Here is a 15771-nt window from a genome sequence, read left to right as displayed (position 1 = left end):
GTACATATATATATATGCTATATATATGTGTGTGCATATATATATGTGCTATGGAATATAGCCATAAAAAAGAATGAAATAATGTCTTTTGCAGCAACCTGGATGGAGCTGGACACCATTATTCTATATGGGATACAAAACTACATGTTGGATACAACATACGTTATTCAGGTGATAGGTGCACTAAAATGTCAGAATTCACTACTATATAATCAATCTATGTAACCAAAAAAGACTTGTACCCCAAAAGCTATAGAAATAAAAAATTTTTTTAATCCAACAAACAAGGGATAGAAAGAAACCGCCTTAACATAATAAAAGCCATATATAAAAAATTAACAGCAAACATCATACTTAATGGTGAAAGACTGAAGGCTTCTCTTCTAAGATCAGAAACAAGACAAGGATGCCTGCTCTTGCCACTTCTTTTTTTTTTTTTTTTTTGAGATGGAGTCTTGCCCTGTCACCCAGGCGGGAGTGCAATGGCACCATCTCGGCTCACTACAACCTCTGCCACCTGGGGTCAAGCGATTTTCCTGCCTCAGCCTCCAAGTAGCTGGGATTACAGGTGCCTACAACCATGCCTGGCTAAATTTTTTTTTGTATCTTTAGTAGAAATGGGGTTTCACTATGTTGGTCAGGCTGGTCTTGAACTCCTGACCCCGGGATCCACCCACCTTGGCCTCCCAAAGTGCTGGGATTACAGGTGTGAGCCACCGCACCCGGTCTTTGCCACTTCTTTTCAACATAGTACTGAAAATTCTAGCTGGAGCAATTAGGCAAGAAAAAGAGATAAAGGCATCCAAAGTGGAAAAAAAAGAAGTAAAATTCTCTCTGTTCTAAAATTATATGATCTCATGTGTGGAAAACTAAATGTTCACCCCAAAAACTGTTGGAACTAATAAATTCAGTAAAGTAGCAGAATATAAAGTCAACACACAAAAATCAGTTGCATTTCTTCTATACAGTAGCAATGAACAATCTGAAAAAATATTAAGAAAGTGTTTCCATTCACAGTAGCATCAAAAACAATGAAATACTTATGACTTAACCTAACCAAAGAGGAGAAAGATTTGTACAATGAAAACTACAAAATATTATTAAAGAAATTAAAGATATAAATACATGAGAAGATATGTTCATGGACGGAAAGACTTGATATTGTTAAGCCGTCAATACTACCCAAAGTGATTTACAGATTCTATGCAATCTTTATCAAAATTCCAATTTTTTTTTGTAGAAATAAAAAAAAAAACCCATCCTAAAACTTACATGGCATCTCAAGGGACAACAATAGGCCAAAATAATCTTGAAAAAGAAGAATAAAGCTGGAGGAACTCATGCTTCGTGATTTCAAAACTTACTACAAAGTTACAGGAAATCAACATATTGTGGTACTGGCATAAATACAGACTAATGAAACAGAATAAAGAACCAGAAATAAATCCTTGCATATATGGTCAAATGATATTTTACAAGGGTGCCAAGACTATTTTATGGGGAAAAGACAATCTTTACAACAAATGGTGCCGGGAAAATTGGATATTTGCATGCAAAAGAATGAAGTTAGACCCTTATCTAACACCACATACAAAATTTAACTCAGAATGGATCAGAAATCTAAAAATATAAAACTTGTAAAGGAAAACATAGGGCAAAAATTTCATGATATTGAATTTGGCAGTAATTTCTTGGATATGACAAAGGCTCAGGCTTTTTTCTTCTTTTCTGAAGAAACAGAAAAGTTGGACTTATGAAAATTTTAAAGTTTGTGCATCAGAAGACACTATCAACAAAATAAAAAAGCAGTTTACAGCATAGGAGAAAATATTTGTATATCTGATAAAAGATTAACACCCAGAATGTAGAAAGAGCTCCAAAACTCAACAATAACAACAACAAAATAAACAACCTGAATAAAAAATGAGCAAAGGCACTTGAATAGATTTTTCTCCAAAGAAAATATACAAAGGTCCCATCAGCATATGAAAAGATGCTCAGCATCACTAATCATGAGGGAAAAGCAAATCATAACTACAGTGAGATACCACTTTGCACCCATAAGGATGGCTAATATATTTTAAAATATAAGCCAGAGGTGTTGGCAAGGATGTGGAGAAATTGGAATTGGAATTCTTGAGTATTGTTGGTAGGATTGCATTATTCTCAATAGCTAAAGCATGGAAGCAACCCAAGTATCCATTAATGGATAAATAGATGAACAAAATGTGTAATATTCAGAAAATGGAATATTATTCAAGCTTTAAAAAGAAAGGGAATTATGACATATGTTATAACCTGGATGAACCTTGAGGACATTATGGCAAGTAAAATAAGCCAGGCACAAAGGGCAAATACATATGATCCCACTTGTATGAGGTACTTAGAATAGTCGAAATCATAGAAACGGAAAGTGGAGATGGTTGCCAAGGGCTGAGGATTGGGGGGAAGAGAGAGTTATTGTTTAATAGTTACAGAGTTTCATTTTTACAAGATGAAAAGAGAGCTGGAGGTGGTGGTGATGTTTACAGAACATTATGAATGTATTTAATGCCACGGAACTGTACACTTTAAAGTGGCTAAGATGGTAAATGTTGTTATGTGCATTTTACCACAAATGAAAAATTAGGGGGAAAATGAACCTAATGAGACTATGAAACAAATGCAAATAGAATAGACATAGCAAGGCTTCCTGGGCATACTAAAATATTTTTCCAAAATTTTAACAGTTATATAGTCATTGGAAAAAAAAGAAGAGTTTCAATGTCAGAAGAAGTCATGTTTTAAAATTCATAATAGTTTTTATTTGGAGTGCAAGGCAATTTAAACAAAACAGATCTTCTCTTCTTAAAAAAAAGTCTTCTGTGAGTTTTAAAAATCACATAGAAAGGTAGGTTTATAAAGATGCAGAGTTGAAGTATAAATAGAGTAAACAGCATAACTGAATATATCTTTGTTCCAAACATTATACTGATGATGGAATGACCTTCATAGTTAATGATATCCTTCTATCTCACAGGCTGTTTGACTATATATCATGTACAACACACAGGACTAATGTACTTTCGCCTGGCTTCTTTCTATCAGGCACCATATGTATGCTGCATCAAATTTCCTGGCAAAAATGTTATTCCAAGGTAATGTGTACAATAAAAATGTTCTCTTGGTGTCACAACAATATTATTTCTCCTCTGACAGTATTGTTAGAATCTACATTGATGAATACTCATCTGCCAATTCGAAAAGGAACATATGTGTGGGTAAGAACAGTCATGCACTCCTTCTCACTACTGTGAAATATAAAGACTGAAATGACTTCTTAGAGGAATTCAACGCAAAATATCAAAAATCTTCCTGAAGAGGCATGAGCAGGCAGGGCGCGGTGGCTCACGCCTGTAATCCCAGCACTTTAGGAGGCTGAGGCGGGCGGATCACCTGAGGTCAGGAGTTTGAGACCAGCCTGGCCAACACAGTGAAACCCGTCTTTACTAAAAATACAAAAAATTAGCTGGGCATGGTGGTGGGCGCCTGTAATCCCAGCTACTCCGGAGGCTGAGGCAGGAGAATGGCGAGAACCTGGGAGGTGGAGCTTGCAGTGAGCCAAGATTGCGCCATTGCACTCCAGCCTGGGTGACAGAGTGAGACTCCGTCTCAAAAAAAAAAAAAAAAAAAGAAAAAGAAAAAAAAAGGATGAGGTATGAGTTAATTTTAGGACTGCAATTCTTATTTCAATAATTTTAATAACAAATTTTTCCTCCCGTAGATGGATATATTCTTTTTTCTCCAACTTTTTCATTGTAGTAAAATATACATGACATAAAATGTATAATGGTAACTATTTTTAAGTGTGCAGTTCAGCGGCATTAAATGCATTCACATTGTTGGACAACCATTACCACCAAACGTCTCCAGAATGTTTTCATCTTTCTAAGCAAATTTTATACCTATTAAACAATACTTATGCATTTCTTCCTCCCTCCAGCCCCTGGCAACCATCATTCTGCTTTTTGTCTCTATGAATATGACTAGTATGTACTTCATATAAGTAGCGTCATACAGTATTTGTCCTTTTGTGTCTGGCTTATTTCAGTTAGCGGAATGTAATCAAGGTTCATCTGTGTTGTATCATGTTTCCTCAAGGTTCATTGATGTTATATCATGTTATCAGAATTTCCTTTCCTTTTAAGGCTGATGATGCTCCATTGTGTATATATACCATGATATGGATTGGCTGTGTCCCCACCCAAATCTCATCTTGAATTGTAGATCCCATAATCCCTACGTGTCATGGGAGGGACCTGGTGGGAGGTAATTGAATCATAAGGATGGTTACAAGGATGGTTACCCCTAGGCTGCTGTTTTTGGACAGTGAATTCTCACAAGATTTGACAGTTTTACAAGGGCCTTTTCCCCACTCTTCACTCATAGTTCCCCTTCTCATGTTGCCATGAGAAGGATGTGTTTGCTTCCTCTTCTGCCATGATTGTGAGTTTCCTGAGGCCTCCCCAGCCCTGTGGAACTCTGAGTCAATTAAATCTCTTTCCTTTATAAATTACCCAGTCTCAGGTATGTCTTTATCAGCAGCATGAGAACAGACTAATACATACTGCATTTTGTTTATAAACGTGTATGTTCCCCCAAATTATTTTTGATATTAAAGCATTATACACTATTACTGCAATTATATTTGATTATAATGTATTGTGATAAGCCTATAATAAGAGCAACCACTTTCAAGAACTTTTTATTTACCAGTTTTTAAAATATGCATTATTTATTATCTTTCTCACAACTCTAAAAATGGGATATTATGCTAATTTTAGAGATGAAACTGAATACAGTGAATGTATGTAAATATATTCAGTGATTCATAGAATATGCAGAAGAGCTGGATTCAAACTTTATGTGCTTAGCTCCGAAGCCTGGGCTCTCTCCCTTCACTCCCTGACTGGAACTGTCGTGATCATGGTACATCATGTTCTATGTAGTGGAATTTTGCTGGACAGGGAGGCATAGAGTTCAGTTCTGGCAATGACACCCACTTCCTCTGTGACCTGGACAAAGTCATTTGGATTCACTAAATTGATTCACTGTAGAAAGAGAAAAAGAATAATAGTAATATTAAATGATAATAAAAGCTAACATTTTTTAGTGCAAATACTGAGTTTGTTTTGCATTTTCTCTTCAATCTTCACAAAAACACAATAAGATGTATATATATTCCCTTCCTTTTACGCATGCAGAAGCTGACACACACAGAGGTTAAGCAGTTTGCCCAAGGTCACACCACTGAAAGTGGAGGGCCAGGATTCAAACCTAAGCCAGTCTGGCTCCTGAACCTGCATGTTAACCACTGCTCACTGCTAGGAGGTTGTGAGAATTGAGATAAAGCATGAAAATTGCTTAATTCAATGTCTGACATACCAGAAACCTCTCAAAAAATGTCAGTCATTGTTTTTACGACCATGATTTACTTGCCATTATTCTGTATCTGGTTGTGAATGGCTACACCTGCTTTCCCTCTTTTTCTTTTCCTTGGAAATGTTCCAAGGGCAAGAGGGGAGATTGACCATCTATCAGGAAATTGCCCTCCTTGGCTGGAAAAAGCAAAAACAGCAAAGACTGCTACAAAGTCGGTTCAACACCAGGCCTAATGTGCACTGCTATTATTCAGGCTAAATTCAAATGAGCTAGGGATATAGCCCTGGCATGTTGTTTAGCATAATATAATAACATCTGAATTTTAAAAATCTGAATCATTTACCCCAAAGCTAAATCACCAATGCAAATAAGTTTCTGAGCAGTCACTGAGAATGTGCTTCTCAAACAAGTTTAATGGGCAAGGAGATGATTAAACAGCTGTGTCCTGCTAAAGTACACAGCTTATTATTACTTGTAAAATTCTAAGTCATTGTTTATTTAGATTAAGGTTCCCCTCTGATATTGTTTTTCAATAGCTACCAATAAATAATCCTGAATTTAGATTTTCTTAATTGTATTGAAATCTTACTGATCTCTTAGTAAAGAATAGTTGTAGTGAATAATTTCATATACCAAGCTTAAGGTTTTGTTTAATGCCTTACTTAACAGCACTTGCCCTCACCCTAAAAATAATTTTCAGGAATATGCACTTTTATAAACAAAATGCAGTATGTATTCGTTTGTTCTCATGCTGCTAACAAAGACATACTTCAAGAATGTTGGAACATTCTCATACTCCCAACAACCAACCAGGCAGGCACACATACACCATTTGATACTTACTTATTGAGCAACTTTCACAGTCATTTGACTGTGGAGAACACAAAGATAATACAACACAAGAATCTGGCCATTAACTAATATATAATTTCATCACAACACAAATATGTTTATAATTACATACAAATCAAAGAATATTAGAATTTGAAGGTAAGTTAACAATTTTACAAATTCCATAGTCTTTGGAGTTAAAAAACTTTATATCTTTATAGCAGCATGATTTATAGACCTTTGGGTATATACCCAGTAATGGGATGGCTGGGTCAAATGGTATTTCTAGTTCTAGATCCCTGAGGAATCGCCACACTGACTTCCACAATGGTTGAACTAGTTTACAGTCCCACCAACAGTGTAAAAGTGTTCCTATTTCTCCACATCCTCTCCAGCACCTGTTGTTTCCTGACTTTTTAATGATTGCCATTCTAACTGGTGTGAGATGGTATCTCATTGTGGTTTTGATTTGCATTTCTCTGATGGCCAGTGATGATGAGCATTTTTTCATATGTTTTTTGGCTGCATAAATGTCTTCTTTTGAGAAGTGTCTGTTCATGTGATGGACTGGATTAAGAAAATGTGGCACATATACACCATGGAATACTATGCAGCCATAAAAAATGATGAGTTCGTGTCCTTTGTAGGGACATGGATGAAATTGGAAATCATCATTCTCAGTAAACTATCGCAAGAACAAAAAACCAAACACCGCATATTCTCACTCATAGGTGAGAATTGAACAATGAGATCACATGGACACAGGAAGGGGAACATCACACTCTGGGGACTGTTGTGGGGTGGGGGGAGGGGGGGAGGGATAGCACTGGGAAATATACCTAATGCTAGATGACGAGTTAGTGGGTGCAGCGCACCAGCGTGGCACATGTATACGTATGTAACTAACTTGCACAATGTGCACATGTACCCTAAAACTTAAAGTATAATAATAAAAGAAAAAAAAACCTTATATCTAATTTAATATTAATTTTTTAAATTACATATTGGATATTGAGTTGATATTGTGCTTTGTGTTGTGTATATTAAATGAATAAACAACAGCTCTTACCATCAAGATATGTATAATCTAGAAGTAAAGACAGGGTATTGAAGTCATGAGATAAATCAACATTTTCCATTATCTCCCTTAAATACACAAACTGATGTCTATGTACTTCTCCACTTAACAATCAAGGGGCATATTTTTCAAGACTTAATTGTGTTCAACAGCTGACTTCATTATGTCAGTTGTACTTCTTTGTAATTATATTACTTTAACGAAACTTACATAATTAATGAAATATGAGGGTAAAATACCATGTGTATGTTTCTGTGAAAACTGCTTTAATGTTTTGACATAATTTTATAAAGTCAAGTTGCCAAAGCACTGCTGTTATATTAGGAGTTGAATGAGACAAATTTAAAAGATTAAGAATTATTCCAGAAAGATTCTGCAAACAAATCACTTTGCATTTTAAAATATTGGTCAGTATTTAAAAACTGGTGTAAATGGAGTACTTACTATTCAGCCATAAAAAGAATAATATCCCATCATTTGCAACAACATGGATGGAACTGGAGGCCATTATGTTAAGTGAAAAAAGTCAGGCACAGAAAGACAAACTTTGCATGTTCTCACTTATCTGTGGGTGCTAAAAATTAAAACAACTGAACTCATGAAGATAGATAGTAAAAGGATGGCAGGCGAGGTGTGTAATCTCAGCACTTTCAGAGGCCAAGGCAGGAGGATCACCTAAGATCAGGAGTTCAAGACCAGCCTGACCAACATGGAGAAATCTTGTCTCTACTAAAAATACAAAATTAGCTGGGCGTGGTGGTGCATGCCTGTAATCCCAGCTACTCGGGAGGCTGAGGCAGGAGAATCGCTTGAACCTGGGAGGTGGAGGTTGCGGTGAGCCAAGATCGTGCCATTGCACTCCAGCCTGGGCAACAAGAGCAAAACTCCGTCTCTTAAAAAAAAAAAAAAAAGATGGCTGCCAGAGGCTGGGAAGGGTAGTCTGGAGGATGTAGTGGAGGAAAGGGGGATGATTAACGGGTACAAAAACATAGTTAGAAATAATAAGTAAGTCCCAGTATTTGCTAACACAATAGGGTGACTATAATAAAAAAATAATTTAATTGTACATTTCAAAATATCTAAGAGAGTATAACTGGGTTATTTGTAACACAAAGGATAAATGCTTGAGGTGATTGATACTCTATTTTTCCTGATGGAATTACTATGCATTGCATGCCTGTATCAGAATATCTCATGTAACCCATAAATATATGCACCTATTATGTACCCACAAAAATTAAAAATAAAAAAATTAAAACTGTAGTTAGTATAAATAGAATTATGATAACCTGTGACCCATGCAAGCATAGCACAGCCTGGACATCAGTCCTATGGAGAAGTGACACAGTTGAAATCTGAAACAGGTAGCACAAGGTGAAGAGAAATGCAAAAGTGTCATGAGCAAAAGAAATAGTATATTTAAAGGCTTGGTGGCAAAAAAAGATGCGAAAACAACTTAGTGCAGCTGAAGTACAAGTGATAGAGGTTGTGAAAAGGGGACAAGTCTAGAGAAATTCTCAGGAGACAGATCTCGACAATGAGGAATTTTTTAATAAATGAGGGACATGATTAGATTCTCTTAGCAAGATCACTTTGGCCTCCACTGAACTAGATTTGAGAGGGGAGGGTGAGGAGGAAGCCTGTGGGTAGTGAAGTGGCTCTTCGCATGGACAGTCCAGTCACTAGGGGAAAGAAGGAGGGAGTTAAGCTTAGTCTAATTGCCAAGAAGATAGAAAGAACAGAGCAGATCAAGGGAAATTCAAGAGGTGAAATTAGCATGAACTGGTGAGTAATCAATGCAGAGGGTAAAGGAGAAGTCAAAGCTGACTCTCAGATTTCTGACTTGTTAACTGGGTCATGGTGCCATTTAAAGAAATAGGGAACAACAGGAAAAGAGCAGGTAGAGGAGATAAGGTGATAAGTTCTGCTCAGCTCTATCTCATTATATAAAAAAAGGAAGCTAATTTCTAGAGAGAGTAAGTCTTCTACCTTAAGTAACAAAGCCAGAAATTGAGTTCAGAACTTCTGACCAACACTCCCTCCCTGCCTCTATCAGTCCGATTCCCTTTCTACCCGTATAGTGCAAACACCCACCCATAATTCAATATACAGTTTTATTCCAGACAGATCATTACGAAACCCCCAGATATGATTATAAATGTTCTTTCATCCCTCTCCATGCTGCCAATTTCATATCTGCCCCAATAAACCCAAAAAAATCTTGGCTTAGCATTGCGTCGAGCCCTACCAACATACGTTTCACACAGTAAAATCTTTTATCGTTTAAAATCAGTTTCAATGGAAATCTGACCCACAGAAAGATGAATGGAGCAGACTTCTGTGAAATAGGTTGAAAATAATTGCATGTCAGACAGGGTTTGGAGGGGAGCCAGTGAGGTATTAAGTGAAAATGTGGAGGAACAGACCCTCTGAGACTCTGAATTTGAAAGCTCAAATACTGGGGCTGGGAATATTTTATCTTCATTGGAAGGGCATGTGATTTATTTCCTCTGACTGCTAATTGGCATAGAAAGTAGATTAGTGGATTTCAAAAAGGAATTAAACAAAGCTTACCTGTCTTGAAAAATACTGAAGTGGTATTGGTTTGAATTTACAGGCTCCGACAGTGATCAGCATAGCACAGACAGAGCAATGAGGAGTTAAATAAATGGGTACTTCAGAAAATGTTTTTATTTAAAGTCTTTAGCAGAAGATGAGTGTCCCACCTTTCCTGACCCAAGCTTAAAATGTATAAAACCAAGTTGCTGGCTGACCACCTTGGGCAGATGTTCTCGGGATCTCCAGAGGGCTGTGTCACAGGCCATTGGCCACTCATATTTGGCTCAGAATAAATATCTTCAAATATTTCACAGAGTTTGACTCTTTTCATTGACAAAAGTAACACTGTCCTCCAGGCCAGAGATGAGATAGAGTCAAATTGGGAAAAGCCTTACATTCCATTTTAATATTGTAAACCAAGGGCCGCCAAACTTTTTTATCATTTTTTATTGTGGTAAAATATTCAGGACATAAAATTTACAATGTTAACTATTTTTAAGTAAACAGTTCAGTATCATTAAATACATTCACATTATTATGCAATCATTACAACTTTTTCATCTTCCCAAATTGAAACTCTACCCATTAAACAATAATTCCCCATTTCCTCCTTCCCCCAGCCCCTGGAAACCACCATTCTACTTTTTGTCCCTATGAATTTGACTACTCTCATATAAGTAGAATCATATAGCGTTTGTCCTTTTGTGACTAGCTTATTTTAGTTAGCACAATATCTTTGATGATCATCCATGTAGTAGCGTGTCAGAATTTTACTGCAAATGTTTTTATTGTGTCAGTTAAACTGTTCTGTGTATACACCTCTAATATACGTATCATATTAATGTATCATACATATTATGAAGCATGCACAACAATAAATATTTTCAAAGAGCAATACTGAAAAACAAACCTATTTTTTTCTTTGCACAATAGATTGTCTGTAAAATCTCCTGGGGTTTATATATTCCCCTCTTTGGGTACTGCTGCTAGCTATAGAAAAATGAAAAGCAATGAGGAGTGTTAAGCAAAGGAGCCATGTAGTTTGACATTCTGACCCAGTTTTTCACTGAGTACCCTAATCCAGGTAAGTACTCTGTAGTTAGTGATGACAAGGAGTTTTCAAAGACTAGATAATTCAGATAATCAGTTTTGTATTTTTAGAGCAGAATATTCTAGTGTTTCTGTGAAGTATGGACCTTATTCAATGCAAGTACATATCTTTCTAATTTCCAAGCACATAGAACATTTTGTTGAGAGGCATAAAATAACACAGCTACTGAAAAATACTTGTTGGTCACTGTTCACTTCAAGATTGCCGATGAATGTATTGGCAGAACTTACAGTTCTCTTGATGCTTGTGAGTATTGTTCAAAAGTTTATTAAAATCAGTTGATTTCTTAAGAGCAAACCATAAAACAGGTACTACTACTAAAAACTAAGGTTAGAACAGGAAAACTGCATGATGGTTGAAAAAGCCCTGACTTTGGAGCCAAGCAAACCTCAGGAAAACTCTGACTTCACCAGTTGCTATTAATAGCTATGTGACCACTGGGAGAATGCTTATACCTCTCTTAACCTCTGTTTTATCATCTATAAATATATGGCAATAACTTATTTGCAAAGTTGCTAAGAGCATGAAATGACGTACTGCACCTAAGTGCCTACTACAGATGTTCAGTTGGTGTTTGTACCTGCTCTTCCATTTAGAAATCCCCAAATACAAAAATTAGTATTATTACCTTGTTCCATGTATGAGGACCAGCATAATCCCTCTGCCTGGAATGGCTTCTGCCCCTAAAAGTCCTAATTGGATTTCAAGATTCAGATTTCAGTGTATTTTCTTTTGGCATTTCAGAGGTGCAATTAAGCTCTTTCTTATCATAGCTCCTATATTGCTTTATTTGTGTCTCTAATAATAATAACCACTTAATATGTGGTGGATGCCATGTTAGCACCCGTTCCCCTTAAAGGAAGGGATAAATTATTATTTCAGCTGCCGGGAGTGCAACCAGCAGATATGCCCTCTTTAGGAATTATCTCAGATGAAAGCACCTCTCAGGCCATGCCTTTTCCCAAGATAGCCACATCCCCAAACGTAAAGTGTGATACAAGGGCCCAGGTCCTTCACAACACTGGAGACAACTCCAAAAAATCATCTGTCTTCAGAACTTCCCTCAGAGTTGGCTAAAGCTTCCAATGAGACCACATCACAGCTCGGCCTCTCCCTGTGCCCAGGCTTATGTCCTTCCCTTTTCTTCCCCAGGTGGTGGTCACAGAATGTTGCCTAATAATTCCCCTCCACCCGAATCTCTATTTCAGAATTTGCAAGTCGGAAACCCAATTTGCAGTATACTTCAGGCCCTTGTTACATTACTGCAATAATTTGTTCACAACCTGTCTCACTCAGTGGGCTGGGTGTGCTTCTGATATTTTAAAAAACATTCTTAGGACCTAGTCATACCTGGCACATACGAATACCTAGCAAATATTTGTTGAATAAATTCATTTAAAAAGAGATCCTATTTTTCTTGGCCAGGAAACTCTTTCTAGTCTCTTCTTTAATTAAATTTATTTATTTATAATCTTTCTTTACAGAAAAAGAATGTAAAGAAATTAACTGAAAGTTAACTACCATTACATAGTGGGTAAGTGAAAATGACAGAATTGTAAAAGCAAGTATGTCATAAGGATCAATATAGTTGTAATTATTCACTGGATATTTTAAAGTCATTCAATAAATAGTCATTGAGCAGAATAACTGTATACCAGGCATTGCTTAAATGCTAAGTCTTTTTCCCCAAGGAGAATTATATTCAAATGACAGCAAAAGCCAAAAATAGAATGAAGTAGTATAATTTCATAGAGTAATAGATGGTATGAAAGCCACTGAGGGGGATCAGAACACACCATCCCTAAATATGCCACTTTGGGATACTGATTATTTTGAGCTGGAGATGCTCAATAGCAGATGCAGGAAGGGCTCTCTGCCTTTTCCTTTTTTACTTAAAAGCAGAGTGTAAATTTACCATGAGAAAAGTGCCCTCCCTGTATCACCAAGAAGGGAATATTCTCATCATCAGAGACAGGGAGTTGACACAGAGATGAATCTACACAAACAAATCTTACAAAAATAACCCTTATCTTCCATTAGCTTCTCCCATGTATTTCCTAGTCACTTTTCCACAATTTCTTTCCCCAACCCTAAACTCTTTTACTTTGGCTTTGTCATATCTCCACAATTTATGACCTTTGTTAAAATGTTATGTAAACCCCTAGGTCTAACTGCTTCTTTGAGGTTTTTACTTCTTTCTTCCTACAAAGCCTCCTACGACACATAAAAATGTTAACCTCAAGTAAAATGTGTATGCTTTTTCTTTTGTTAGTATGTCTTTTGTCTATACAATTCACAGGTCCTAGTCACAGAATTTAAGAGGGTAGAGGAAAGGTATTCCCTTACCTACATCACTTTAGGTCGGATGGTCAGGGAGGGACTCCCAAAAAAGACGAACAGAGACTTCAGTGATAAAAATCTGCTCTTGCAGAGATCTGGGGAAAGAAACTTTTCTATTCTATTCTATTCTATTCTATTCTATTCTATTCTATTCTATTCTATTCTATTCTATTCTATTCTATTCTATTCTATTCTATTCTATTCCATTCTATTCTATTCTATTCTATTCCATTCTATTCTATTCTATTCTATTATTCTACTCTATTTTTGAGACTCCAGGCTGGAGTGCAGTGGCATGATCTCAGCTTACTGTAACTTCTGCCTCCCAGGTTTGAGTGATTCTTGTGCCTCAGCCTCCCAAGTAGCTGGGATTACAGGCATGCACCACCAACCAGCTAATTTTTTGTTTTGTTTTGTTTTGTTTTCTTAGTAGAGACAGGGTCTCACCATGTTGCACAGACTGGTCTCAAACTCCTGGGCTCAAGCGATAGACCCACCTTGGCCACCCAAAGTGCTGGGATTACAGGCATGAGCCACCACACCCTGCCTCTATGGGAAAGAAACTTTTAGACAGACAAAATAGTTAATATAAAGGCCAGGGAACAAAAACAAATTTGACCCTAAGCTCCTAGCAGCTAAATATAGTAAATTGCTTGTTTTTATCTGGGAGGGGATGTGTTTTTATTCTTAAGGAGAGTCAGCTTTCCATTGAATAAAATCTGAGAGAGGTAAACAATGTCTTCATCAACCATTTCACAACAAACACAGAAGGAGAAATCTGTGATGGCTTTTTGTAGTGACACTGGAGACCTAACATTAAGAAGCATTCAGGAAAAACAGTTTCTGTGAAGTGCTATAATGACTCACAATACTTAGAGTAGTAGCTAGATGACATGACCTTTAAGTTTTCTTCTTTAAGTAAGAATTGTATGTCAGTCTAAGATTGCATCCTCTATCGAGGGCTTCAGTGCAGGTATCTTAGACTATTCATTTATTCTCTGATTCATTAATCAAGAAAAACATTGTTCAGAAAACCTTGGACAAAGTCTTAAATCATAGCACTCTGTGTTCCTGCTGCATTTAAGTTATGACTCACAATTTAAGCTGACTTCATACAATTCTACTGAAATATCACCTATCCAGATAAAAAGTTGCTTGTTTCCCACACATAATTCCATTCTTTTCATTTGCAAATGTATTCCCTCCTCTCATTGCTGTAGAATAGGACTCTCAGTTATTCTGATATATATTAAGTTTTATTGAGATGCAAATAAATGACAACAGGCATAAAATTAAAGAAAGATGAGTTTCAGTGTCAAGATACGCAATGAAGCAGGAAATGGAGATCATTAAGCTATTACTATAAGACAGTTTTGCTTAACCTACCTTTGTAATTTTGTTCCCCGACAACTAAACAAAAAAAGTATTTATTAAACAGTGACAGTCTGGCAGGGACATGCCACTATAAGTCAAAAGAAAGAAAATATATTCCAAAGTGAAAAACAGCAAGTTAAGCTTTATTATGGTAGCAGAGAAATGTCATCACATTACAAAACATGTGCTGCAACCATCAAATGGCTTTGACTTCTTAGTAAATCATATGTATAAAATACCTACTGAGTCAACTAGTTAAATTCATTCCATTTTGCAAATATTTCAAGCATGTGACATCTCAAACCCAAGGCCTACCACCTATTTTTCTCAATGATAAAATCAGAACTGAACAGAAGAGAAGTTGGGATTCAGTAACAGTGTGTGTGACAGCATCTGGCTAGCATAGCTCCTAGCAGATAACATAACACTAATACTCAATCTCTTCCTTCCCTCCCCTTCCCTCTTACTTTCACAACCTAGTATAGAAGAAGGGTTATATCCTGAAATAGATTACAGTCAAAAACCACACATAGCTGCCTCCTTTGTGGGACCTGGAGCAAGGATACAGATGGAGGCCAGCATACCAGATCTACATATTTAAAAGTTATAAATGAAGCTGGCAAACTATTAAATAAAATGTGATATTTCCTTCTGTCTTGATAAATATATTTTATAACAATCTGAAAGGCCAACTTCTAATTTAGATTTCTCATATCCCTCAGAGTTTTATGCCAAAATTTGGCAGGGGACCATGGGACACACGCACTCCTACCTAATCTTGAGGCTTGAATCCCTACTCTTCTCTCTACCAGCTTTCCCACCCAGAGGAACCTGGTAGACATGATCTGAACACTCCAGCATGATCAAGCTCCAGAAACACCCCCATCATCAATTGTGCCTTAGGCCTAAGAGCATGCACACCAGCAACCACAGTCTGCCCTTGAGAGCATGGGATAAGAAGCGGTCCAAGCAAATGTTGGAGCCAGTACTGAGGCCTGTTGAACAGAAAATTCCACAGTCTCAGAAACAGTCTAGAAGTGAAGGTAGGACTCCCAAA

At 36.8% G+C, this 15771-nt stretch overlaps 1 protein-coding gene and 1 long non-coding RNA gene across 10 annotated transcripts in view; both read right to left on the bottom strand.

Moving 5' to 3' along the window:
* The window catches only part of ARHGEF38 (Rho guanine nucleotide exchange factor 38), a 129947-nt gene that overhangs the window by 107573 nt on the left and 6603 nt on the right, over window positions 1–15771 (bottom strand). The gene's annotated exons all lie outside the window — the stretch shown is intronic.
* On the bottom strand, window positions 4756–13403 carry ARHGEF38-IT1 (ARHGEF38 intronic transcript 1). Its single transcript, NR_046840.1, has 3 exons — window positions 13347–13403; window positions 11629–11692; window positions 4756–5090 (listed from the first exon to the last, which is right to left on the bottom strand). It is a non-coding gene; the product is annotated as an ARHGEF38 intronic transcript 1 (long non-coding RNA).

The sequence above is a fragment of the Homo sapiens genome, chromosome 4, assembly GCF_000001405.40.
Source record: "Homo sapiens chromosome 4, GRCh38.p14 Primary Assembly".
NCBI lineage: Eukaryota > Metazoa > Chordata > Mammalia > Primates > Hominidae > Homo > Homo sapiens.
The sequence above is the reverse complement of the archived record's forward strand: the minus strand, read 5'-3'. Positions and strand labels throughout refer to the sequence as shown.